At 36.8% G+C, this 27,060-nt stretch overlaps 1 protein-coding gene across 6 annotated transcripts in view; it reads left to right on the top strand.

Moving 5' to 3' along the window:
• Window positions 1-27,060, top strand: part of ULK4 (unc-51 like kinase 4) — a 715,505-nt gene that overhangs the window by 215,100 nt on the left and 473,345 nt on the right. The window lies entirely within an intron of this gene.

The raw sequence follows: 27,060 nt of genomic DNA, 5'->3' as shown, positions 1-27,060 counted from the left end.
TTTACGCATAAAGTATAAAGTTTAGTTAGAGGTTTTCTTTTGGTTTTGGTTTTTGCCTGTGGATATTTAATTGCTCTGGTGTTATTTGTTGAAAAGTCTATCTTTCCTGCATTCAGTTGCTTTTGTACCTTGTCAAAAATCATTTGGGCATATTTGTGTTGGGGTTGCTTCTGGGTTCTCTAAACTTTTCAATTTATCTGTGTGTCTGTCCCTTTATCAATACAACATTGTCTTGATTACTGTAATTAAGATTACTTGACCATAATAAGGCTTAATATTGGGCAGAGTGATTCCTCTCTTTTTATTCTTTTTTGTCAAGATTGTTTTAGCTGTTCTGGGACCTATATGCTTTTCCATATAAGCTTTGGAATGAGCTTGTTTATATTTGCCAAAACCTTGCTGGGCTTGCATTAAACTAATACATCAATACAGGGATAGTTGATATATTTACTCTATGGTCTGCTGATCCTTGAATGTGGTGTCTCTCTCTATTTATTTAGTTTTTTTTTTTTAACCTTGTTTCATTAGCATTCTATAATTTCAGCATGTTTTGTTAGGTATATACCCAGTATTTCTTTTTGGAGGGAAGCAATTGTAAATGGTATTGCATCATTAATTTCAATTTCCACATTTAATTGATGTGATTTTTGTGTTTTTTGATTTTATCTTCTACAGCGTTACTAAACTCATTTATCAGTTGTAGGTGGTTTTTTTTTTTTTTTTTTTTTTTTGTGGGTTCCAGGAGATTTTCTATATAGCCAATCATGTCATCTGTAAATGTGGACAGTTTTATTTTTCTTCTCTCTTGTTTGTGTGCCCTTTATTTTTATTGCCTTATTTTAGTATTTAGAATTTCCAGTACTATGTTGAATAAGAGTGGTGAGAACAGATGTTCTTGCTTTGTTTCTGGCCTTGTAGGGAAAGCATTTTTAGGCCTCCACTGTTAAGTATGGTGTTAACTCTAGATTTTTTGTAGATATTCTTTATCAGTGGAGGAAGGTCAATCTCATTCTTATTCTTTATCTCCAATTTTCTTAGAGTTTTTTTTTTCTCTCATCATGAATGAGTGTTGGATTTTGTCAAATGCTTTTTCTCTATCAATTAATATAACAATATGATTTTTTTAGCTGTTGCTATATTACATTGTTTTTCAAATTCTACAGCAATTGCATACCTAGAGTAATCTCACGTGGTCACAGTGTGTTAATTCTTTTATATTTTGCTGAATTTGATTTGCTAATATTTTGTTGAGGATTTTTTCCCTTAAGTTCATGAGAGATACTGGGTTATAGTTTGCTTGCTTGCTTTCTCCCTCCTTCCCTTCTTTCCTCTTAGTATTAATATAATACTAGCCTCATAAAATGAATTGTGATGTATGCCCTCTGTTTCTGTTTTCTGGAAGAGACTGTATGAAATGTGTTAATTTTTCTTTAAAATTTTTGTAGAATTCTCTAGTGAATCCATTGGGGCCTGCAGATTTATCTTCGGGAACTTTTAAATTACAAATTCAATTTCTTTAAGTTGCAAGGCCATGCATATTTTAAAATTTTACTAGGTCAAGTTTTGGTAGTTTATGGTTTTTGAGGAATGGTCAATTTTTTAAAAATTATTGTGTTATTAAATTTTTTTTCTAGTATTCCATTTTATCTTTTTACTACTGAAGTATTTGTAGTGATATCCCTTTTCATTCCTGATATAGATGATGTGTACCTCTTCTGTTTTTATTTTTACCAGTTTTGCTAGAGATTGAGTGACCAGCTTTTTGTTTTCTCTATCATTTTTCTGTTTTCAGTCCATTCCCTGATTTTTATATTTTCCTTCTGCTTGCTTTGTTTTGCTCTTTTTCTACTTTCTGAAAGCAGAAACAGATTATTGATTTGAAACCTTTTCTTTTTGTAAAAGGTCTCATGTAGCATTATTTCTATAACTCTGTCTCTCAGATGCTTTTGTAGCATTTGCATAGATTTGGATTTTTTAAAAAAACATTATGTAGTTTAATGTATCTTTTTAATTTCCTTTGAAACTTCCTCATTGATCCATGTATTATTTAGGGATGTCTTATTTAATTTCCACATATTTAGAGATTTTTCTGTTGTCATTATGTTATTGATATATAGTTTGATTTTATTATGGTCAGAGAACACACTTGCTGTGATTTCAGTTCTTTTAAATTTGTTGAGGTTTGTCTTGTAGTTTAGTGTATAGTCTATTTTGGTGAATGGTACAGGGCGCTTGAAAAGCATGTACATTCTGCTGCTTGTTGGGGATGTTCTTTATATGTCAATTAGATTTTGTTGTTTCATTGCGTTGTTTAGATATTCTCTATTCTTACTGTTTTTCTTTCTAATATTTCTATCAATTTCTGAAAGTAGGGTGTTGGAGTCTGCAGTTATAATTGTGGCTTTATCTGTTTCTCTTTTCACCTCTAACAATTTTTGCTTTCTAACAAATTTTGCTCTGTATTTGGAGGCCTCATTGTTTGCTGCATACTTACTTAGGGTATTATGTTTTCTTATGTACAGATGCTTTTATCATAATGTAAGTCCATCTTTGTCTCTAATAATTTTCTCTGAAGTTTACTTCATTTGATATTGATACAGTCACTCCTGCCTTTATTTTAAATTAATGTTTGCATTTTATACCTGCTTTCATTTTTTTACTTTAAACTTATCTATATCATTGCATATAAGGCAAGTTTCTTACAGGCAGCACATTGTTGGGTCATAATTTTGTATCACCTCTGCCATTTCTGCCTTTTAATTGGTATGTTTGGACCATTTACATTTAAGATGATTACTGATATGTCAAGGTTTAAGTCTGACATTTTATTCCTTATTTTGTTTCTCTTTACTTACCTTTCTTTGGGTTATCTGAACATTTGGGATTCTTTTATTTATTTATAGCACTGTTGAGTATATCACCTTGCATAGTTTCCTTAGTGGTTGCTCTAGTTGTTGCAATATACATACATAACTTATAATAGCCTCTTAGTCATAATATGTTATCACTGTGAATGAAGAGTAAACACCTAGTTTACTTTTATTTTCCCTACTTTCTTTTTATTTTCCCTACTTTCCCTTTACTATCCCTACTTTTAAAATATAATTGTCTTGTCCAGGCACGGTGCCTGGCCAACATGATGAAACCCCTTCTCTACTAAAAATACAAAGATTAGCCGTGCATGGTTGTGTGCGCCTGTATTCCCAGCTACTTGGGAGGCTGATGCAGGAGAATTGCTTGAACCTGTGAGGTGGAGGTTGCAGGGAGCCAAGATTGTGCCACTGCACTCCAGCCTGGGCAACAGAGCAAGGCTCCCTCTCAAAAAAGAAAAAAAATTGTCTTAAGGATGTTCTCTCTGCATGCATTGAGCAGTTTATCAGATGGTGTTATATTTTTTGCTTTTAATCATCAAATATGATTTAAGAAATTTATTAGAAGTAAATTAGACTGTTGCATCTACCTCTAACTTACTCATTCTGATGTTCTTCTTTTTTTATATTCTTAACCTTCTATTATCACTTCTTTAGGATTAGAGAACTTTCTTTAGACATTTTTTTAAGGGTATGTTTGCTGTTGGAAAAAAAGGTTACTTTTTCTTTGAGAAATCTTATTCCTCCTTTATTCCTGAAGATTACTGCATTTAGAACTTGTAGTTGACAGTTTTTTTTTTCCTTTTTAGTCTTTAAAATTTTTCTACTTTCTTCTGTCCCCTATGGTTTCATATCATGGTTCAAATCTGTTATTTCTGTTAGTATTCCTTTATAAGTAATGTGTTATTTCTCTATTTTGAAGATACTCTCTTTGCTTTTAGGAGTTAGAAGTTTAATTGTGATATATCTTTGGTGTGGGTTATTTGGTTTAATCCTATTTGGAGTTTGATCAGCTTCTTGAATATATAGATTTATGTCTTCTGCTGAATTTGGATATTTTTTGGGCATGATTTCTTTGAATACTTGTTCAGTCCCATTTTCTCTCTCTTCCCCTCTTTGGGACTTTGATGATATGAATGTAAGTTATTTTGTTATTCTCCTACTGATCCCTGAGACTCTATTTTTTTTCTTTTGTCTATTTTTTCTCTGTTTTTCAGATTTCATAAGTTTAATTTATTTGTAGTCATGTCCACTGGTTCTGCTCTCTGTCATCTACACTCTACTATTGAGCTTATCCAGTGAGGTTTTTATTTCGGTTATTGTATTTTTTCAGTTCTATATTGTACATTGGTTCTTTTTTATAACCTTTCTCCTTATCTGAGATTTTAAACAATTTCATTAGTTTTAAGAGAATTTGTAATGCTTTTTGAAACATTTTTATGATAGCTGCTTTGAAATCTTTGTTAGATCATTCTCACATCTGATTCATACTAGTGTAGTATGTGTTGATGGTCTTTTTTGATTCATGCGATTTTCTTGGTTCTCGTTTTGATGAGTGATTTTAGAATACGTCCTGGACATTTTGCCTAGGTCTTGAGTCCTCATCTTGCTCTGTGTCATTAAGTCTTAATGTTGCTGAGTGGAGGTTTTATTGCTGGTTGCTGGACCTCACTGACACTAATTTTGTAGGGGAATCAGATTACTGCCTGCTTCTGCTGGTTGGGAATGGAAGATAGCTCTCCACTCAGACACCTTAATACTGTCACAGCAGGGAAATTAAAGAATGGCCTGTTTCTATTGGGCAGGGAATGGAGGATCAGCCCTCTGCTGGGTCTTATAGACACTACCCCTCCAGGGGAATTGGGTAACTGTTACTGCTTCCACTTTGCAGGGGATGGAATATTAGCTCCCTATTCTGCTTTGCCTGTACTTCTCAGTTGAGGAATTGAAGTGGGCCACCTGTTTCCCTGGGGGTGGGTTAAGGTAGAAGATAAAATTCCCATGGTCCCACTAAAACTGGAGGACTGGGAAGGGAAGGGTTGTATGTGATTTTCTGTTGGTGTGTTGTCAGAGCAGGGCAGGTATTGCTAGAAAGAATTTCTGTTGTTAGGCCATCTTTTTTCACTGATCCTTTGGCCAGGGAAAATAGGCTTTTCTTAGCACTTTTTTGGGGGGACAGTTCTGGGTTGGAGGCTTGTCTAGCACCCTCTTGGAATACATGAGAGGCGATAAAGAAGGGAAGGAGACTTACTGCTATGTTGTTCCTCAGGTCCTTCATTCTGTAGCCAGTCCACCTTTTTTCCACCTTTCAGAGTCTTCCTGTGTTTGTTTTGATCCTACTCCATCTTGGCAGAACTAGAAATCCAAAGTCACTTATAGAGTTGGTGGGATAGTACTTAGCAGAGCTACTTTTCACAGTGACTTTTAAATACTGCTTGAGGAAATGTGAGTTGCTGCAACCTTTTAAAAGGTGATTTAAGTGATTGGAAACATCTATGACTATTAACAATACACATTGCTTTGATTTTAACAGGCATGCATCTGATTTAGCCACTAGAAATAAAAGTGTGAATTGTTCAGGATATATGCTTTAGGTTATTTAATGCAGCATTATTTCTAAGTGGTGAATAAATGGAAATATAGTTAATATCCATTGGTATTGAAATGCTTCAATAAATAATGATATAGCTGTGATATAAATGATTCATTTGATTAACCTGGAAGGATATTCATTGTATATAGATAAGTGAAAAAAGGCAAGAGCAGAGTTATATATTAATTATGAAGTTATGTTTGTAAAGTAAAAGTGGCAAAACTTCTATTTGCATGTATTTGTATACAATTTCGTTAAAAAATGCATATGGAAGAATAATACCAAATTGGTTATCTGAGGAGGATGTGATGGTGAGATTATTTATCTTTACTCATTTGTATTTTTAGGCTGTTGTAATAAGCATGTTTCACTCCTATAATTAAATATATATGTATATATAAAATGAAGAAAAACAAACTAAAGGAAATGTTAGCAATGGGTACTAGTTGGTTAAGAAGGGATTAAGGGGATCCTTGAGGCAGTGAAAGTTCACATCTTTTTAGACTTTTAGATTAAATTTAGTAATATAAATTATTGTCAGAAACGAATAGGCAGCCAGTGCAGACTATGGAAAATAGTTAGTAGCTGTTCCTTTGTGCTTTGCAGCCCAGGTATTGTATTCATGTGCATATAAAATGCAAGGTTGAATATAAAGGTATGCAAAAGAGAGCCAGCCTTCAGGCTAGAGAGATGTTAAAATTCTCTGTGATGAGTTTATACAGAAAATTGTTCTTCCTTCCTTACTTGTCCCTTGAAACTGCACTAGCAACTGGAGTCCTGAACAAATCACAGTGCTGCCCATCTGCCTGAGAATGGAAGCCTCATATCGGTAGCCCAGGATGACCTTTGCTCCATTATGCAAATATGTTTTTCTGCATACCATCATCACCATTGGCCTTTTATGGATTACATTTTACATTTCAGCACATTTTCTGTGATGTCAGCTCTGAAATCTGTCTAGCATGAGACAGGTGGTGAAATTGAGCTGTCAAGATCAGATAAAAATGATATGATGGCTCACAAATGTCCACCTATTTCTCCAAATGGCTTCATACTCATATTACTATGACAGGCGATAAAATAAGGCCTATGCATCTCTCAACATGATAATCCTTTTAGAGGATGAATGGTCTTGTAAGCTGATTGTATAGGTTTGCCGTGAGCTGAAATGTCAGTGGCTCCTGATGGATCAGATTTTCCTAGAGTTTTTTTTCCTTCCCCATAGTATTGTTAATAATGTGGTAATCAGTGAAATAAAAAAAAATCTGCTTTGATTTTAAAAGAAATATTATTTAAAATAAATATTTACTCTGGATAATTGGTTAACTGTGTGGGGAAAAATTATTTTCTCTGCTTACACCGTACAAAAGCCAGTTCCAGATGGATTGAAGAATTATATACCAAAAAGAAACCATAAACAGCTGGAAGAAAATATGTTTAAATATGGGCAAAGAAAGCTTTTCTGAGAAGAAGAGCAATGAAATAAACCATAAAAGGAAATACTGATAGTTTGGCTACATATAAATTAGAAAATTTTATATCTTCCAAAAATCATAAATAAAATTTGTATGCTAACAAAAGCTGTAAAATTTTGCATCATATATAATAGTTAATTTGTGTATTATAGAGAGATTCATAATGATATGAATAGATATTCAGCATCATTAGTAATCAGTGAAATGCAGATTAATATGTTATGAGGAACATTCCTTTTGCTGAGCCCTTGCAGAGCCTTCATCTTTGCCACTTTGCTCCCTGGTACACAGGCCCATTGAGCAAGCCCTGGGTGGCTGGAGAAGGAGTCTTTGTTGACATTTGGAGAAACATGTCATCTTGTCCTCTTGATTATTGAAAGCCTCCTCTGAAGTGGATGCCTGTTAGTGAACATGCATGTGCTCATTCTGAGAAGCCTACCCATGTACTTTCTCAGAACTTCTTGTCACCAGTTTTCAAATTCCTCAGTTTTCTGAGTTCCTGACCATCCTACTAAGCTGTAAGCCCCAGTGCCCATGAATCAGCATATATATGAGTTGCATCTCAGTTTAAACATAGGGTGCAACACAATGTATTATTTGAAGCTCTGCTCACTGGGAGGATGTTCTTTCCAGGGACACTTCTGATTAGGCTTGTAATGCAGCAGTCCACTTTCATTTGGTGCCAGCATCTTGTACTGAACCATTCACTAACCAGATTCAGTGCTTTTCTTTGCCAATTAGCTGGTCATAAACAATTCTTAATCAGGATTAAGTGAGAGAAGGCCACACAGAGGAGTATGTGTTGAAGGAATCTAAGCCACTGTTCATGCAATTTACTGCTATATTTTTTGACATGTTGAAACTCAGTCTCTTATATTGATTGACTCATTTGATGATGGTTTACTGCTTTGCATACTTAACGTAGTGGCTTGGTGACCCAGATTAACGATAAGTAACTCATATCATGTGATCATTTGGTTTCAATCGTAATGTTTATTCTCTATCAGGAGCTGTTTATCAAAAGGAGAATAGTAATCCACATGTGAGAATGTGACTTTGCTCTTAAGCTGCACAGATGTGTATTGTGATTCACTTATTGATGCTTCCCTGGGGCTCCATTTGCTGTAGGGGTTCAAGTAGTACTAGATATGCTAGGTCATAAGGCCTGAGTGGCCCAGCAGCTTGTAGAATTGCTGCAGAGCCTTTACTTACTTCAGCTCCATTCAAAACTAATAAGTTTGTGAATTCTTCAGATAATGAGAGGCACACATTCAAAGGTGGTATGTTTTACCTCTTAATTCACAAAAACCCACCAAACATTGTGCCTCTTTTTTTGGTTACAGTCAACAGAAGGTGCAATAACTTGTTTTTGACCTGGAGGGATGTCCCAACCTGCTGTAGACCTCGGAGCTGCAGAAAACTGACTGAAGTGGTAGCCCCCTGAATTTTTCTGGAGTTTATTGCTCTCTCATGTATCTTACTAAGCCAACTAAAAAGTACTCACTGCTGATATTTCCTGAGGTCCAACCAGCTTAATGTCATCAAAATAGTGTACACATGGGATGTTTGGTGGGATGTCAAGATGTCCCAGATCTTTGCAGAGTGTTTTAGGGCCAATGGTAGCAGAGTTAGCATGGCTTTGAGGCAAGGCAGTGAACATGAACTGTTTGCCCTGATGAGCAACAGCAAACACATGCTGGTGGTTCTTCTAAATTGAAACGGAGAAAAAAAACCTTTGCCAAGTCAATAGCACCCAACATGCCAGGGCTATGATGATTTGCTCCAGTAGAAATATTACATCTTAAATTGCAGCTGCAACAGGAGTCACATATTTACATTTTGGATGATCTGCTGTCATTCTTCAAGATCCACTACAGTCATATTCTAAGATGTTGCATAGGCCAAATAGACTATTTTTAATTTTTTCCAGTATAATCTGTTCTGTTGAACAAATAGTTTAAATGGGAATGATAGATATTATCACCCCTACATATTTTAAGTTTTTGCTCTTGATACTAATTTTTATGATTTGGTTTTATGTTCATATGGCTTACTAGAGAGGGGATGTACCAGATTTTCATTTGTCTCTTCTTACCATACTAGCCTACCTCCACAGATCAGATAGCCAAAGTATGGATTCTGCTAGTTGCTAAGTGGTCTATTCGAGTTACATATTTAGGAAACGAAGAATAATTACAGAGTAGGTCTATAGATGTGCTGGGGTCACTGTAATTTGAATTTGGGCCCAAACTTATTTATCATCCGGCCATCATAAGCTGAGAGATAATAGCTTTAATTACAAACAGAGGCATTGAATTGGACGATGAGTTTGCTGAGGATTCTGGCAGGGAGATGGAGAAGAGGAAAAATTCATTCCATATTTAAAGTACAAATTGTTTCTGCATGGGGGAAAACAACAGTTATAAATTAAAGGATGTGCATTAAACAGATAAAAATGGACTTAGATAGCGTGATGCCTCCAGCTTTGTTCTTTTGGCTTAGGATTGACTTGGCAATGCGGGCTCTTTTTTGGTTCCATATGAACTTGAAAGTCGTTTTTTCCAGTTCTGTGAAGAAAGTCATTTGTGGCTTGATGGGGATGGCATTGAATCTATAAATTACCTTGGGCAGTATGGCCATTTTCATGATATTGATTCTTCCTACCCATGAGCATGGAATGTTCTTCCATTTGTTTGTATCCTCTTTAATTTCATTGAGCAGTGGTTTGTAGTTCTCCTTGAAGAGATCCTTGACATCCCTTGTAAGTTGGATTCCTAAGTATTTTATTCTCTTTGAAGCAGTTGTGAATGGGAGTTCACTCATGATTTGGCTCTCTGTTTGTCTGTTATTGGTGTATAAGAATGCTTGTGATTTTTGCACATTGATTTTGTATCCTGAGACTTTGCTGAAGTTTCTTATCAGCTTAAGCTGGAGGCATCACACTACCTGACTTCAAACTATACTACAAGGCTACAGTAACCAAAACAGCATGGTACTGGTACCAAAACAGAGATGTAGACCAATGGAACAGAACAGAGCCCTCAGAAATAATGCCACATATCTACAACTATCTGATCTTTGACAAACCTGACAAACACAAGCAATGGGGAAAGGATTCCCCATTTAATAAATGGTGCTGGGAAAACTGGCTAGCCATATGTAGAAAGCTGAAACTGGATCCCTTCCTTACACCTTAGACAAAAATTAATTCAAGATGGATTAAAGACTTAAACGTTAGACCTAAAACCATAAAAACCCTAGAAGAAAACCTAGGCAATACCATTCAGGACATAGGCATGGGCAAGGACTTCATGTCTAAAACACCAAAAGCAATGGCAACAAAAGACAAAATTGACAAATGGGATCTAATTAAACTAAAGAGCTTCTGCACAGCAAAAGAAACTACCATCAGAGTGAACAGGCAACCTACAGAATGGGAGAAAATTTTTGCAACCTACTCATCTGACAAAGGGCTAATATCCAGAATCTACAATGAACTCAAACAAGTTTACAAGGAAAAACCAAACAACCCCATCACAAAGTGGGCGAAGGATATGAACAGACACTTCTCAAAAGAAGACATTTATGCAGCCAAAACACACATGAAAAAATGCTCATCATCACTGGCCATCAGAGAAATGCAAATCAAAACCGCAGTGAGATACCATCTCACACCAGTTAGAATGGCAATCATTAAAAAGTCAGGGAACAACAGGTGCTGGAGAGGATGTGGAGAAATAGGAACACTTTTACACTGTTGGTGGGACTGTAAACTAGTTCAACCATTGTGGAAGTCAGTGTGGCGATTCCTCAGTGATCTAGAACTAGAAATACCATTTGACCCAGCCATCCCATTACTGGGTATATACCCAAAGGATTATAAATCATGCTGCTATAAAGACACATGCACACGTATGTTTATTGTGGCATTATTCACAATAGCAAAGACTTGAAACCAACCCAAATGTCCAACAATGATAGACTGGATTAAGAAAATGTGGCACATATACACCATGGAATACTATACAGCCATAAAAAATGATGAGTTCATGTCCTTTGTAGGGACATGGATGAAGCTGGAAACCATCATTCTCAGCAAACTATCGCAAGGACAAAAAACCAAACACCGCATATTCTCACTCATAGGTGGGAATTGAACAATGAGAACACATGGACACAGGAAGGGGAACATCACACTCTGGGGACTGTTGTGGGGTGGGGGGAGGGGGGAGGGATAGCATTAGGGGATATACCTAATGACCAGTTAATGGGTGCAGCACACCAACATGACATATGTATACATATGTAACAAACCTGCACATTGTGCACATGTACCCTAAAACTTAAAGTATAATAATAATAATAATAATAATAATAAAATGGACTTAGAGTGGAGTGAAGCAAGGAGAAAACTGTAGTGTTTTGACTCTCTGTAAATAGCATATACCCTCAGCAAGGAACCACTTGTGATATTGTCCAGAATGAATTCAAATGGAATGGATATCTACAATTTACATGTTATTCCAGTAATATACTGCACATGAGAATATCTGAAGTAGAAATAGGCAGTGGAGTAGCTCACTGATGGGCACATAGAGCTCGGTAGAACTCGAAGGGAATAAGGGTGACCCAGGGGAATTGGGATGATGGCATCTTTAAGGAGAAGCCTGAATTAAGTTAAAAAGCAAGGAGTGTGAATTCTTTATTTTTAAAACCTATATAACTGACTTTACACAATATAAATGGGCCATTCTGTCCATAATATACTACTGGAATCTTTTCTTCTACTCATACCATTTCCAGGCAGTCAGTTCTTCTCTCTCATGTTTCTGTTTCTCCTCTTCACCTGTACACTTGTAACTCCTAATTGCCTGCTTGTCTTCCTTTTCGCATTCATTAGCTTATCCGCTATCTGATTAATATTCCCCAAATGCCACTTTCATCAAATCATTTCTTTCCTTTAAACAATTTCCTTCCTTCAGTCTCCCTGCGATCCCTCTCTTTGTAGTTAGCATGACCTTTGTGCCAGGTTTTCTGGCACCCAATTCCTTTGTTCACAGGGTTGAGAAAACCTCATGTCGTCCCATCAGCACTAAAGCCAAAACTTGTCTTGTTCCCTTGCCATTTAAGGCTTGAGGTGCTGCCGAGGTTCTGCCTACTCACTGGTCAGCGTTTTCCTTTTTGTGTTCTTGGGCCCTCTGTCAATCCATTTAATCTGTACCATCACTGTTAAGAGGTTTTTGAAGGTTCTGACTGTGAATGGTACAATTTCCTGTTTTTAGGGCTAATGTGACTTTCCAGTGGGACTATGTGAAAAAGGGAAGTAAAATGCTTCAGTGCAACTTGGGAATTTAAACTGGAGTTTATCTTTGTAGTTTTAGGGCTCATAATAGGGGCTTAATCTACATTCCTTGCTTTCTTCCCACCTCAGTCTCTTCTTTGTTGGTTTCCACTTTTCTGTTTCATTTGCTGAGCCTTCTTTTTTTTCTCTTTCATCACTGTCCTTAGGTGATTTCATCTAATCCTGTGGCTTCAAACACTACCTATGTGCTGATATACACTTAGATGAACTTTTCTCCACTTCAGGCTTATATTATCTTAACGTATTCAATTGCATACACAAGAGGAGTTTTAAATTTAACGTATACAAATCAAATATGCTTTCTAACTCTCCCATCTCCCAGACTGGGAGTCAGAAACATTCAGTAGCACTTGATCCAGTTACTCAGTAATAGTCAAATACATTCAGTAACACTATATGCAGTTACTCAAACCCAAACTTCTGAGTAACCCATATTTTTTTCTTATTCATTCAATTAATAAACAAGTCATATTGACTCTTCCTCCAAAAAGATGGTCCCCTGCTTACCTACTTTCCGTCTAGACTGCCCCAACCAAGCCAATAGCATCTCTTATTTGCTCTGACACTGGTCTCCTAACTGATCTTCCTGCTTCTAGTTGTTCAGCTCCCCCCACCCCAGTAATATGTTTTCCACACAAAAGCTGGAACAATTTGATGAAAACATCTAGCTGGGCGCAGTGGCTCATGCCTGTAATCCTAAGCACTTTGGGAGGCCAAGGCAGGTGGATCACCTAAGGTCAGGAGTTTGAGACCAGCCTGACCAACATGGTGAAACCCCGTCTCAACTAAAAATACAAAAAAATTAGCTGGGCGTGGTGGCAGGTGCCTGTAATCACAGCTACTTGGGAGGCTGAGGCAGGGGAATTGCTTGAACCCGGGAGGTGGAGGTTACAGTGAGGTGAGATTGCGCCACTGCACTCCAGCCTGGGAGACAGGATGAGACTCTGTCTAAAAAAAAAAAAAAAAAAAAAAAAAAAATCATGTGTTTAGTTGAATTCAAGGCAATCTTGATTATATGAAAGTCTAATTTTTCAATGGAATGTCTAAAAAAGTCTTTTTGGGAGAAAACATGGTAATTATATAAACTTTTAAATGAATTTGATGAAATAGATGACTGTTTACCTCTTTTTATAAATATTTAATTTATTATTATAGTTACACATTTATTTTTAAGTATGTATATAAGATAATGTACTGGTTTGGAAGTCTGCATTCTTGCATTTTGTAAAATAAATGTATTCAACACCTCTTTTTAAACTGCTTTATTGAAGTGTCACCACAGCATGTTGAACATCAGTTCCTTGAGTTTCTCCTGCATCATCTGACACAGTATTCCAAACTAGATCATCTCCTCTTCCATTTAAATGGTTTCAGAGACAACACCTTTTCTGCTTGTGTGTGATGCAGTCACTGCAAATTTTATCTAAACCAAGAGTAGTTCTTTTGTTTTATTTTTACTTGACACATAATAATTGTACATATTTATGGGGTACACTGTGATGTTTAGGTATGTGTATACACTGTGTAATGATCAAATTAGGGTATATAGCATATCACTGCAAACGTTTATTATTTTCTTGTGGTGAGAACATTAAAAATCCTCTCTTCTGGTTATTTTGAGATGCTGAAATATATAATACAATATTGTAATAGTCACCTTACTGTGCAATAGAACACGATAACTTATTTTCCCTATCGAACTGTAATTTTGTACAAACTTTCCCTGTCCTCCCCCTCTCCCTGCCCTTAGCCTCCCCAGAATGTGGTTACCAATATTCTCTTCTCTATTTCTATTAGATCAGCTTTTTGAGATTCCACATATGAGCGAGATCATGCCTGGATTATTTCACTTAACGTAATGCCCTCCAGTTCTATTCATGTTATTGCAAATGACAAGATTTCATTCTTTTTATGGTTGAATATTATTATTGTGTATACTTACCACATTTTCTTTATTTTCTTTATCCATTCATTGATGGACACGTAGGTTGATTCCGTATCTTTGCTTATTGTGAACAGTGCTGCAGTAAACATGGGAGTGCATGTATTCCTTTGATATATTGAATTATTTTTCTTTGGATAAATACCCAATAGTGGGATTGCTTGATTATATGGTAGTTCTATTTTTAATTTTTGAGTACCCCCATACTGTTTTTCATAATGGCCATACTAATTTACCTTCCCTCTAACAGTATATAAGAACTCCCCTTTCTTCACATCTATGCCAATATTTGTCATTATTATTATTATTATTTTTGTTAATAGCCACTCTAACTGGGGTGAGGTGATACCTCATTGTGGTTTTAGTTTGCATTTCCCTGATGATTGGTGATGTTGTTGAGCATTTTTAAATATACCTGTTGGCCATTTGTATGTCTTTTGAGAAATGTCTATTCATTTGCTCATTTCTTAGCAGATTTTTTTTTCTTTTGCTATTGAGTTGAATTCTTTATATATTCTGGATATTAACCTCTTGTCAGATGCATGGATTGAGAATATTTTCTCCCATTCTGTAGCCTGTCTGTTCACCCTTGTTTCCTTTGTTGTGCAGAAGCTTTTTAGTTTGATGCAATCTCATTTGTCTGTTTTCACTTTTGTTGCCTGCGCTTTTGAGTTCTTACCCAAAAAATCATGGACCAGACTAATGAAGCAGTTTCCCTATGTATTCTTCTAGCAGTTTCCTAGTTTCAGATCTTAAATTTAAGTCTTCAGTCCATTTTGACTTGATTTTTGTATACGGTGAGAGTGAGGGGGTCTAGCTACACTCTTCTGCATGTGGATATCCAGTTTTCCCAACTTCGTTTATTGAAGAGATTGCCATCTCCCCAAGTGTGTTCTTGGTATCTTTGTTGAAAATCAGCTGGCTATAATTGTGTGGATTTACTTTTGTGTTCTCCATTGTGTGTCATTGGTCTGTGTGTCTGTTTTTATGCTAGTTCCATGCTGTTTTGGTTATCAAAACTTTGTAGTGCATTTTTAAGTCTGGTAGTCTGATGCCACCAGCTTTTGTTCTTTTTTTTTTTTTTTCCCCCAAAATTGATTTGGCTCTTTGGGGTTTTTAAAAAAAAATTTAGAATTTTTTTTCTGTTTCTGTGAAGAATGTCATTGGTAATTTGATAAGAATTGCATTTAATCTGTAGATCACTTTAGGTAGTATAGATGTCTTAACAATATCAATTTTTCTAATCCATGAACATGGAGTATCTTTCCATTTACTTGTGTCCTGTTTAATTTCTTCATCACTGTTACATAGTTTTTCTTGTAGAGGGCTTTCACCTCCTTGACTAAACATATTAAGAGAATTTTTTTTATAACTTATAAATGGTATTGCTTTCTTGATTTTTTTCAGATAGTTTGCTATTGATATATAGAAATGCTTTACTGAATTCACTTAATATTTGTAAGAGTTTTTTGGTGGAGCCTTTAGGATTTTCTATAGCTTCAAGATTATGCCATTCGCAAGCAGGAACAATTGGAGTCCCTTTTTTTTTCTTATTTTTTTTTCCAGTTTGGATGCCCTTTCTTTCTCTTGCCTACATTGAATAAAAGTGATGAAAGTGAGTATCCTTGTCTTGTTCTAAATTTAGAGGAAAAGCTTTCCATTTATTTTTTTTCCTATTCAGGTATTACATTTAGCCATGGGTTTGTCATATATGGCCATTATTGGGTTGAGGTACAAACATTCCTTCTATGCCTAATTTGTGGAGAGTTTTTATTTTGAAGGATGTTGACTTTTATCAAGTTTTTTCCCTGCATGTATTGAAATCATATGGTTTTTGTTCTTGATTTTCTTAATGTGATGGATCACATTTATTGATTTGCATATGTTGAACCATCCTTGCATCCCTGGGATGAATTACACTTGATTATGGTGAATGGTTTTTCATCAAGGATATTGGCCTGTAATTTCCTTCTCTGGTTTTCAGATTAAAGTGATACCGTAGAATGAGTTTGAAAGACTTCTTTGTCTTCAATTTTTTGGAGTACTTTGAAAAGGATTACTGTTAGTTCTTTAAATGTTTGACAGTATTCAGCAGTGAAGCCATCAGGCTCTGGGCTTTTCTTTGATGGGAGACTTTATTATCGATTCAGTCTTATTACTCATTATTGGTCTCTTCAGACTTTTTATTTCTTCATGATTCAATTTTGATAGACTGCGTGTATCCAGGCATTTGTCCATTTTTGATAGATTTTTCAACTTTTTGGTGTATAGTTGTTCATAATAGTCTTATGATTCTTTTTAGTCTGTGACATACATTGTAATATCTACTTTTTATCTCTGAGTTTATTTATTTGAATCTTCTCTTTTTTCTTAGTCTACCTAAAGGTTTGTTATATTTTCAAAGAACGAACTCTATTTTGCTGACCTTTTGTCTTTTAAAAAGTCTCCATTTCATTTATTTCTGCTCTGACTTATGTTACTTCTTTCCTTCTACTAATGTTGGGTTTAGTTTCTTGTTGTTTTTCTAGTTCCTTGAAGTATAATGTTTGGTTCTTTGAGATCTTTCTTATTTTTTGATGCGGGCATTTATTGCTATAAACTTCCCTCTTAGAAGTGCTTTTGTTGTATCCCATAGCTTTTAGTATATTGTGTTTCCATTTTTATTTGTATCAGAGAATTTTTAAATTAAAAAAATTTTTCCTTGACCCTTCTGTTGTTCAAAAGTATATTGTTTAATATCCATGTATTTGTATAGCTTCCAGAGTTTCTCCTGTTACTGATTTTTAGTTTTATTTCATTATAGTCAGAAAAGATACTTAATATAATTTTGAAAATCTGTCCTATGACATTGGTTGTGTTGGGTTTGTTGGCTTTGGTGTTGAGTAGGTGCAGTAGTGTAGACTTTGTGCCGTTGTTTCAGCTATAGTCAGTATTAACAATGCCTGTGAGTACTTCAGTGGCTTGGGCTGCAGAAGTTTGTGCAACTGTTCTGCCAGCTTGGGCTGCTTCCCTGAGGGCAGGGTGGCAGGCTGTCTCATGCACTACATCAAGGGAGTGCAGGGCTGGTTGACTGGCAGCTCAGCTGCTCCTCACCTCCGGAGTTGAAAGTAACAAGCTGTCTCTCATGCCATGCCAAGAGGGAATGGAACTTGATGAATCAGGCCTTGTTCCTTTGGGAGCAGGTTGGCAGGCCTATTTGCTCCAAGGGGCTGCAGGACTGTTGAGTATTGTGGAGCCTTTGGGGTGGGGAGATACAGTGGCTATTGGGTCCCAGGGAAGGACACGCTCTAGCAGTGGCTCCAGTGTCAAGATGGCATTATGCAGTAGCAGCTTGGGTCAGGGGGAAAATAGGACACAATGTCGGCTTCTTCTCTGGCACAGTGCAGCCACGTGAACTCCTGGTAGCTTCCTGAACTGCAATTGGCCCGTGAGGAGTGCGAGATTCTTCAGCAACGAAAACTGCAGGTTTTCATGACATTCGTGGGAGCTACTGGGGGCTCCTTGCTTTACCTTTTTCTTGTAGGGGGAATTTCCTCATGATTCCGAGTTGATCCCAATTGGGGAGACAGGGTGGCAGAGAGCAGAGTATTTGGATTCCTTCTCAATATAGTCATCCTGAGTCTTCATGTTCCATGGTGTCTCTGCCACTCCCCTGCTGTACTTCAGCGTTCTCCTTCAGATACTCTAGTCAAAATGGAGTTATTTATTCATTGTTTTGGTCTTTTTTTGTAGGAGTTGGGGTCATGAGTATCAGGCACCTTCAGTCAGCCATCTTGGTGACATCAGTGTAAAACTACAAGTTCTTATTTAACATCAGACAGTCATCATAGGCATTGTGTGTTTGTTTATAAGCCATATAGTTTGCTGTGATTATATATCAAGTGGATATACATTATATATGTGTATACATATATGTTGTGGAGATATATATATATCTTTTCATTTTTGTTTTATTTATAATAGAAATGTTTGTCTGAATAACCTAATTCACATTTACCAGAAACTAGAAGTCTACTGTTTCCTTCTTGAAGTACTTTCTTACTTGACACCCAGGGCAGTTTTTTTGGGTTTTCTTCACCCTTCAGTAGTCACTCTTCCTCAGTTTCCTCTCTCATAATCTCAGCCTTTGTAGTAGTTCCATGACTCAGTCCTTGGAGTGATCTCATTTAATCTAATGGCTTCTAGAGTTTGGATGTTTGTCCCTTAGGCCTCCAAATTTGATCTGCGTTGTTGGAGGTGGTGCTTCTGGCAGGTGCTTGGCTCATGAGGATGGATCCCTCATGAATGGCTTGGAGCTGTCCTTGCTCCATTAGTTCTCACCAGAGCTGGTTATTAAAAAGAGCCTTGTACCTACCCCCTCTCTTGCTTCCTCTCTTTCAATGTGATCTCTGCACACCCTGGCACCCCTTTGCCTTCCACCATAAGTGGAAGCAACCTGTGATCCTTGCCAGATGCAGCTGCCCAATCTTGAACTTCTACAGAAATCAGAATCATGAGCCAAATACACATTGTTTTCTTTATAAATTACCCATCCCCAGGCATTGCTTTATAGTGACACAGATGGACCAAGACAATTGCCTTAAATACCATCCATGCATGGCCTACTCTCAGATTAATGTCATCAGCCTAAACCTTTTCTCTGAACTCACACTCACATACCAACTCTCCATGTGCTACCGAAACGTTAATGTCTGATAAAGATTTTTCTGCTCCAGACTTGCTATTCTGGCAGTCTTTACCTATATTAGTAAATGGTGGCTCTGTTATTCCAGCTGCTTAGTTGCATGGAATTATTCTTGACTTCTCTTTTTCACCTCTCCTATCCAATCAACAGCAAATCTAATTATTTGTACCTTGAAAAAATATCCATAATCTCATCAATTAACACCATTTCTTCATTACCACACTAACCAAAGCCACCATGACTTCTCATCCAAATTGTTACAGTTGCTTCTCAGCTGGTCTTCCTTTTTACATTTCCATAGTCTGTCTTCCTCACAGGATCCAGAATGCTGTTTTTTTTTAACCACATGTCAGATCATGCCACTCTTTCTCCTTGAGAGTAAAGTTCAAGCTTCTTACCATGGCATACAATCCCTTACATGGTTTGGAGCCTGGTTACCTCTCTGATCTTTTCTTACACTGTGCTGTAGCTACACAAGTACACAGCAAGCATGTGTTTGCCTTTGGGATGTTGCATGTGGCTTAACAGTTTTCTGGAATGTTTTGTCCACATTGCACGCTTGCTTTACCCCTTCTGGTCTCTGCTTCAATGACATCCTGTCGAGAGGTTTTCTCTGGCAAGTGACTAGTTTTCTTACTCTTTAATTTTCTCCATAGTACTTGTCACCACCTAAGCTATTTTCTGGTTGCTTGTTTGCTGTCTGTTTCATTGGACTTGAATATACACTCCATAGGTTGTATCTACATCAACTAGAAAAATACTTAGCACATAGTAGACACGGTAAATAGTTATTGAATGAATAAACTGATGTCATCATCCTTGTACTCATTGAACTCATTTTGCTGTAGACATTGTACTGGTGTAGATATTAGGCATAGGACTTGCTGAGTTTGGCCTTAGAATCACAGAGGTATAGCAGGAGGTCTTAATAGAAGGCCGATCAGAGTTACGTAAAGGTGGATGTGTGTGCAATGCGCATAGGATTCCTGTGGTGATGAGAGTAAGAAAATTGTGGTCAGATTAGAGGGAATGAATCAGAGAGATAAATGGAGAGAAATGCAGGGGTTTGAGTGACAGTAGTTTGGGAAATGGGTATGTCCTGGGGAGAAATAATACTGTTAAAGATAGTTGGCTAGGCACAGTGACTCATGCCTGTAATCCCAGCACTTTGGGAGGCAGAAGTGGGCAGATCATTTTAGGTCAGGAGTTCAAGATCAGCCTGGCCAACATGGTGAAACCCCATTTCTATTAAAAATATAAAAATTAAATGAAACAAATAAACAAAACAAAAATACAAAAATTAGCCTGGCGTGGTGGCGCATACTTGTAATCAGAGCTACAAGGTGATCCAGGAGAATCACTTGAACCCAGGAGGCGGAGGTTGCAGTGAGCTGAGATCATGCCACTGCATTCCAGCCTGGGTGATGGAGTAAGACTCTGTCTCAAAAAAATTAGTAAGGGACACAAAGGAGAATTGATCTGACCTTGTTTATTTGCAGTTTATTTGGATTTCTTTTCAGTGTGTTATCTTTTTAACTTGATATACCCTTGTAGAACACTGAGAAATATCATTTGCTGCTTTTCGTAGAACGCTTGTGAAGTATTTGTGGGACACTATGCTCAAATGTTTCCACATTTTGTCTCCTTTATAGATGTGAATTCTTTTAGAAAATAATGTTCTCTTGTCAGTAAAGTCAGTTTATTCTACTGTAGCTGTGAAAACACATCTTGTAATGGGGAGGCATTGGGGAGAGCATGAAGAAATGGAGCATCATTCTAGAGTTAGTTTTAAACTGTTATGGATCCCATTAGTTTTTTATTTCTCCCAGCAGATGTAATGGATATTTTCTTATGTATTAACAGTCTGTACTAGTGTTTGAAAATGATTTGAATAGTTTTTTGCCTTAAGTGAAAGATATTTCAAACCATGGTAGTTAAGCAACACATTATCAAATTTTATAATGGATAATTTAAACTTTAGAGAAAAATTTATTCCTTATAGACAAGTGTGAATTTGCTTTTTTTATACTCTGTAAATTTGGAGAGGATTTCATTTGGATTCCTTGACTGCCAAAAGATAACCATTTCTATTTTCTCTGTTTTCTGTTTCTGGGGTAGCTGTTACTGATATAGAGGATTTCCCAAAACAGGGAGAGAAGCTCATTTTTGAATCATCTCAGTCTCTGTTTGGATTAAGATGATCTAGATTGTTTGGTGTTTTAGCTGCCTTCCAGAAGCAAATGCAAATCCTGTCTGAAGAAGTTTAACCGTAACCCTAGGCCTCAGAGTATCTCCGTAGTTTTCAGGTATAGAGTCTAATACTCAATAGAAAGTAGTCAGGCCTATGAGGAGACAAGATGATATGAATAAAAGCAATAAAATCAACAAGAGAGACAGTATCCATAGGGAATACAGACAATAGAGTTATCAGATACAGACTTTAAAATAACTGTGATTAATATAGTCAAGGAATTTGAAAGATTAAGGGTTTCAGTGGAGAACTAGAACTATTAAAAAAACCCAAATGGATATTCTAGAACTGAAAAATACAATAATTGAAAGTAACAAGTCAGTGGATTTGGCTAACAGATTAGACTCTCTGAAGCAGAGAAATGCTATCTGGGAGAAGTCTGAGATCAGTGTAGAGAGACAAAAGTATAGAAGACATGAAGAATAGTGGGAGAGATATAGAGGAAAACAGAAAATTGTGGGTTTTATAATAAACGATAATAGATAATTTAGATATCAATATAGGAAAGAAATAAAAACTTTTACTCCTAAGCTGTACTGTACCAAAGATCAATACAGGTAGATTTTATGATTTTCTGTTTAAATTTGTAAAGGTAAAGCAGTAAAGCTTCTGGTAGATAGCATATGAAAATATCTTCATGACTTTTGTGTAGACTGAAATTTTTTTTAACAGAACACAAAAGCATTGTCAGAAAGGAAAATATTGATAAATTAGGCTACCTTAAAATTATGGTTCATTCAAAGACATTAAAAGAGTAAAAAGGTAAGCCACAGAGTAAGAGACATTCATAATCAACATATATAATCAACAGTGGTCTCTTAACAGAAATATGTACAGACTTACTTCATCAAGGAAAAGAGGACAGATAACCCAATAGAAAAATGAGCACAAGACTTGGACAAACAGTTTACAAAACTGGTTATCTCCAGATGGTCAATTAACACCTGAAAAGATGCTTAACCTAATTAGTCATCAGGAAAATTTAGTTTAATCACAATGAGTTACCAACATATACCCACTAGAATGGCTGTGATTAAAAAGCCTGATAATGTAGGGTTTTGGCAAAGATATAGAAAAACTGGAATTTTTTTTTTGTTTTGTTTTGAGACAGAGTCTCACTCTGTCGCCCAGGCTGGCGTGCAGTGGTGCAATCTTGGCTCACTGCAAGCTCTGCCTCCCGGGTTCACGCCATTCTCCTGCCTCAGCCTCCCGAGTAGCTGGGACTACAGGCGCCTGCCACCACGCCCGGCTAATTTTTTGTATTTTTAGTAGAGACGGGTTTCACTGTGTTAGCCAGGATGGTCTCGATCTCCTGACCTCATGATCCACCCGCCTCGGCCTCCCAAAGTGCTGGGATTACAGATGTGAGCCACCGCGCCTGGCTGAAAAACTGGAATTCTTATATCTACCTGTTGGAGTATAAATTGACATAATGATCACTTTAGAAAACTGATCATCAGTGTCTATGAAACTGAATCGAGGCATGCTTTGTGACCCAGCAAATTTACTTCCAAGGATACAGATATATCCAATAGAAATGTTTATGTGCATCCAGCATAAGTTATGCTTAGCCCTATTCATTAATTGAAATAGCCCAAATGTTCATCCACAACAAAACGAGTAAGTAAATTATGGTATATTCACATACCGGAACACTACACAGCAATGAAAAAGAATGTGGATGAATACCAGCAGACATAAATGTAGAACAGATAAGTCAGGCTTTCAGCTATTTGGTAATGTTTGATCTCCTTATGATTAAGAGTTGAGGGAATGACAGCCTATTTTAGAAGTTCTCAGTGTGTTGGTGAATTTTGACTTTGAGCTTTACATTAAGATCATCTGTACAGGCATTTTTAATGTGAACTTTAGCATGAATGTCTCTGGCTATTTCTCTTGGGCTATTTAGTTTTGCCAAAGAAGAGCACATGCAGAGTGTTCCAGTCACATGCTCGGAAGGAAACGACTGGGCTACCAGAGTCCCAGGCGCCCACTGGGCTAAGGGAGATGAAGTTTCAGTATTTACTGTGCATAAATTTACTTAGTCCCCTGTTTGCAGTTTGGTAGTCCTCTCTTAATCTTGGTCTGCTATTTCTCAGTCCAGATGGTTTTTATTTTCTCTAGAGAATAAATGTTTAAACTTTTGCCTGAGTGCAAGCCTAGTGGCAGTTACCTACATATATTGGCCAGAGGAGGTAATGTAAGGTTCAAACTGCTTTTTAATCAGATTTTGCCAAATATTTGATCTTTTACCCCTCTTTCCTCACTGTTGGTTTTAGAAGTACCTTTTCAATAAATAGTACCAGACAAGTGCTCGTCCACTTGGAAAAACAATGAAATTAGATTCCCACCTCAACCCACATGATCAGTCAATTTCTAGTGGATTGAGGACTTCAATGTGAAAGACAAGAGGAGGAGGAGAAACAAGAAGGAAGAAAGAGGATAAAGAAGGGGACAAAGAGGAAGAAGATAAAAGATCCAGACCATATAATTAATGCCTCCAAATCAATAACAAAAGATCAACAACCCAATGGGAGAATGAGCAAAAGACCTGAACAGGCATTTCAGAAACAGACATTTTCAGGCACTTACTGTTCATAATTCCTCTTTTCCCTTCATTTTCCTGAGAAAAGAGGAATTATGAACAGCAAATAAATACCAAAATATTCTGTCATTAATAATTATGAAAATTCAAATTAAGACTAAAGGTACCACTTTAAACCCCATAAATAGATGGGTAGAAATTAAATCTGATACCAGTAGGTATTGGTGAGGTTGTAACTCAGAGGGAACGCATACACTACTGGTGGGAATAAATTGGGACAACCACTTTGGGAACCAGTTTGGCAGTGTCGTGAAGTTGAATATTTGAGTTTCCATTCCTATACATGTACCCTAGCAACTCTTGCACATGTGTACCAGGAGACAGATGCAACAGTGTCTCTCAAGCATTGCTTTTTGAGAAGAAAAGCTGAAAGCACCCCTCATGTCTTTTAGTAGGATGATGGGTTAAATAAACGGTTATATATTCTGCATGTTTAATGAAGACAAAACTATTTCCTTAAAGAAAATGTTTCTATTCTTCCTATATCAAAAGGAGTAGAACAATTTTAATGGCATCAAATTCTAATCTCTGAAGAGATGTCAGGCTCTCTTTCATTTTATTTTAATTTAATTTTAATTAATTAATTTTTTGAGATGGAGTTTCACTCTTATTGCCCAGGCTGGAGTGCAGTGGTGCCATCTCGGCTTATTGCAACCTCTGCCTCCCAGGTTCAAGAGATTCTCCTGCCTCAGCCTCCCGGGTAGCTGGGATTACAGGCATGTGCCACCACGCCTGGCTAATTTTTGTATTTTTTTGGTGGAGACGGGGTTTCTCCATGTTGGTCAGGCTGGTCTCGAACTCCTGACCTCAGGTGATCCACCCGCCATGGCCTCCCAAAGTGCTGGGATTACAGGTGTGAGCCACTGCGCCCGGTCTGTCTTTCATTTTAATAAGTTGAGGCAGTTCTTCAAAATGCAGGGGAAGTGGGGCAGGACTTTTGAGCATGGTGATTCATGATTCAGAGAGTGGGATGAAAAACAGAGTGTTAGCCTTCTCTAGGGATTTTCTCTTAAGATTTGTGTACTCAAGAAAGCAGTATCCCAAGTTTGGTGGTGGTGATGATAGCAGCTACCGTTTCCTGAGAATTTACCGCATTCATTTACATCCTCACAGCAGTCCTATAAGGCGGGCATTATCCCATTTTGTAATTAGAAAACTGAAGTTTGTAAGAGTTTAATTTGTACAAGATCACACTGTCTGAAAGTGCAACAGGTGAGAATTGCTTCCAGATTTGGTTGACATCTTTGTTTCAATATTGTCAAGGTAAAAGATTTGACCCTGCTGAAAGAAAGAATCTAGGAATTGTAATGGACACAAACCACAATTAAGTTTTGGGGTACTGCTGGAGTACTGTTGGTTTACTTCTTTTGTAAAGTCAGCCTGACACTTGACACTGTGGGAAAGCATAAATCTTACAAATCGGGCTGTCTGTTTGCCTTGCACTCAGCATTTACTATTTGGTAGGGTATCCTGGGAAATTGAGCATTATATCTCCTAGAAAATGTTTTTAAAAAGGCTCTGTAGGACAACAATATTACTTAATGTTTAAAAACATTGGCCAGGCATGGTGGCTCACGCCTGTAATCCCAGCACTTTGGGAGGCTGAGGCGGGTGGATCACGAGGTCAGAAGTTGAAGACCAGCCTGGCCAAGATGGTGAAACCCGGTCTCCACTAAAAATACAAAAATTAGCTGTGCGTGGTGGCAGGTGCCTGTAATCTCAGCTTCCCTGGAGGCTGAGGCAGGAGAATCACTTGAACCTGTGTGGCAGAGGTTGCATTGAACCGAGATTGTGCCACTGCATGCACTCCAGCAGGGGTGACAGAGTGAGATTCCGTTTCAAAAAAAAAAAAAAAAAAATATATATATATATATATATATATATATATTTACATTAAAAGCTTTGAGTAGGTAACACATACTCATGGTTCAAAACCCAAAAAAAAAAAAAAAAAAAAAAAAAAAAATTCAAAGCGAAAAATTTCTCATCTGCTTCCATTACCCTGGATTACCACCATGCAAAATTAAGCATCCTTATTAGCTTATTTATCCCTCTGGATTTTTTAAAAATCTAAGCAAATATGAATATGGATTATTTCCCTCCCTTTATAAGCGAAAGTTCCCTATTTTGAACTTTGCTTATTTTCTTAAAAACATATCTTGTAGCTTTTTCATGTAGTGTATAAAGGGCTGCTTCTTTTTGACAGCCGCATTCTAATTATGTACCATATTTTATTTAACCAGTTCCCTTTTGCTAAATACTTCCTACCCCAATTTTTTGATGTTATAAATAGCAAACTATGTGTATGTGTCATATCATATGTGTACAGGTATATCTATTGAATACTTTGTTCCTAGAGATGAAATTACTAGATTATTAATTTTCAAATTATTGCCAGCTCACTCTGCCTGGGATTTATACTCGATTACATTTCCAACAGCAATGAACTAGAGTATCAGTATCCTCAGAGTCTTGATGGCAGTCTTGTCAAATTTTCTGAGTGTTGGCCCCATGAGGTAAAAATAGATGTCATTGTATGTATATTTCTTTTATTAGGAGCGAAATGGAATGTCTTTTTCTTGAACCATTTATATTTTCTTCTATGTGTACTGCCTTCTCTTAGTCCTTGCTCATTTTTTCCTCTTCTTTTGTTAGTCTTTTTCTAATTATTATCTGGGGGCACATGCATGTGTGTGTGTACATATATAATACTAACATTTTGTGATTTGGAATGGAAATATTTTTCTCCAGTTGGTCTTTTTGCTTCTGGTATTTTTTTCTAGGTGGAAGTTTTTTATTTTTTTAGCTTTTTATATGCGGTATAAATTTTAAGCAAGCACACACTAAATAGCAGAATTAAGAAATGGGCCTTGGGAATAATGAGATGGAATTGCTGTAGAGAACTAGATAGAACTTTATGGCAGTTTCAACAGCAATATTTACTTATTCAGCTAATATGTATTGAACACTTAATTAGAGTTAAGAACTGTGCGCAGAAGTGGAAGGGTGTGGTGAGAAGAATCAGATATAGTCCTTGCCCTTAGGTATTTTTAAGTTTACTGGGGTGACAAACATTATCAGATAATTAAAAATATCTTTTAAAATTGCAGTTGGGTAATCCTTCCATGCTATGAGACAGTACCATAGAGGGCTTTAATTTAAGGAAATCATTGGAGAGTACAGTGAGTTATGAAATATGCATATGAATTTATTGGCAAAGAGGGAAGAGAAGGGCCATCTAGGCAGAGGCAGTAGCTTGTTGCATGGGGAGGTACTGT

Source organism: Homo sapiens, chromosome 3 (assembly GCF_000001405.40).
Source record: "Homo sapiens chromosome 3, GRCh38.p14 Primary Assembly".
Lineage (NCBI taxonomy): Eukaryota > Metazoa > Chordata > Mammalia > Primates > Hominidae > Homo > Homo sapiens.
Note: the sequence above shows the minus strand (reverse complement) of the source record. Positions and strands in the feature narration are given on the sequence as shown.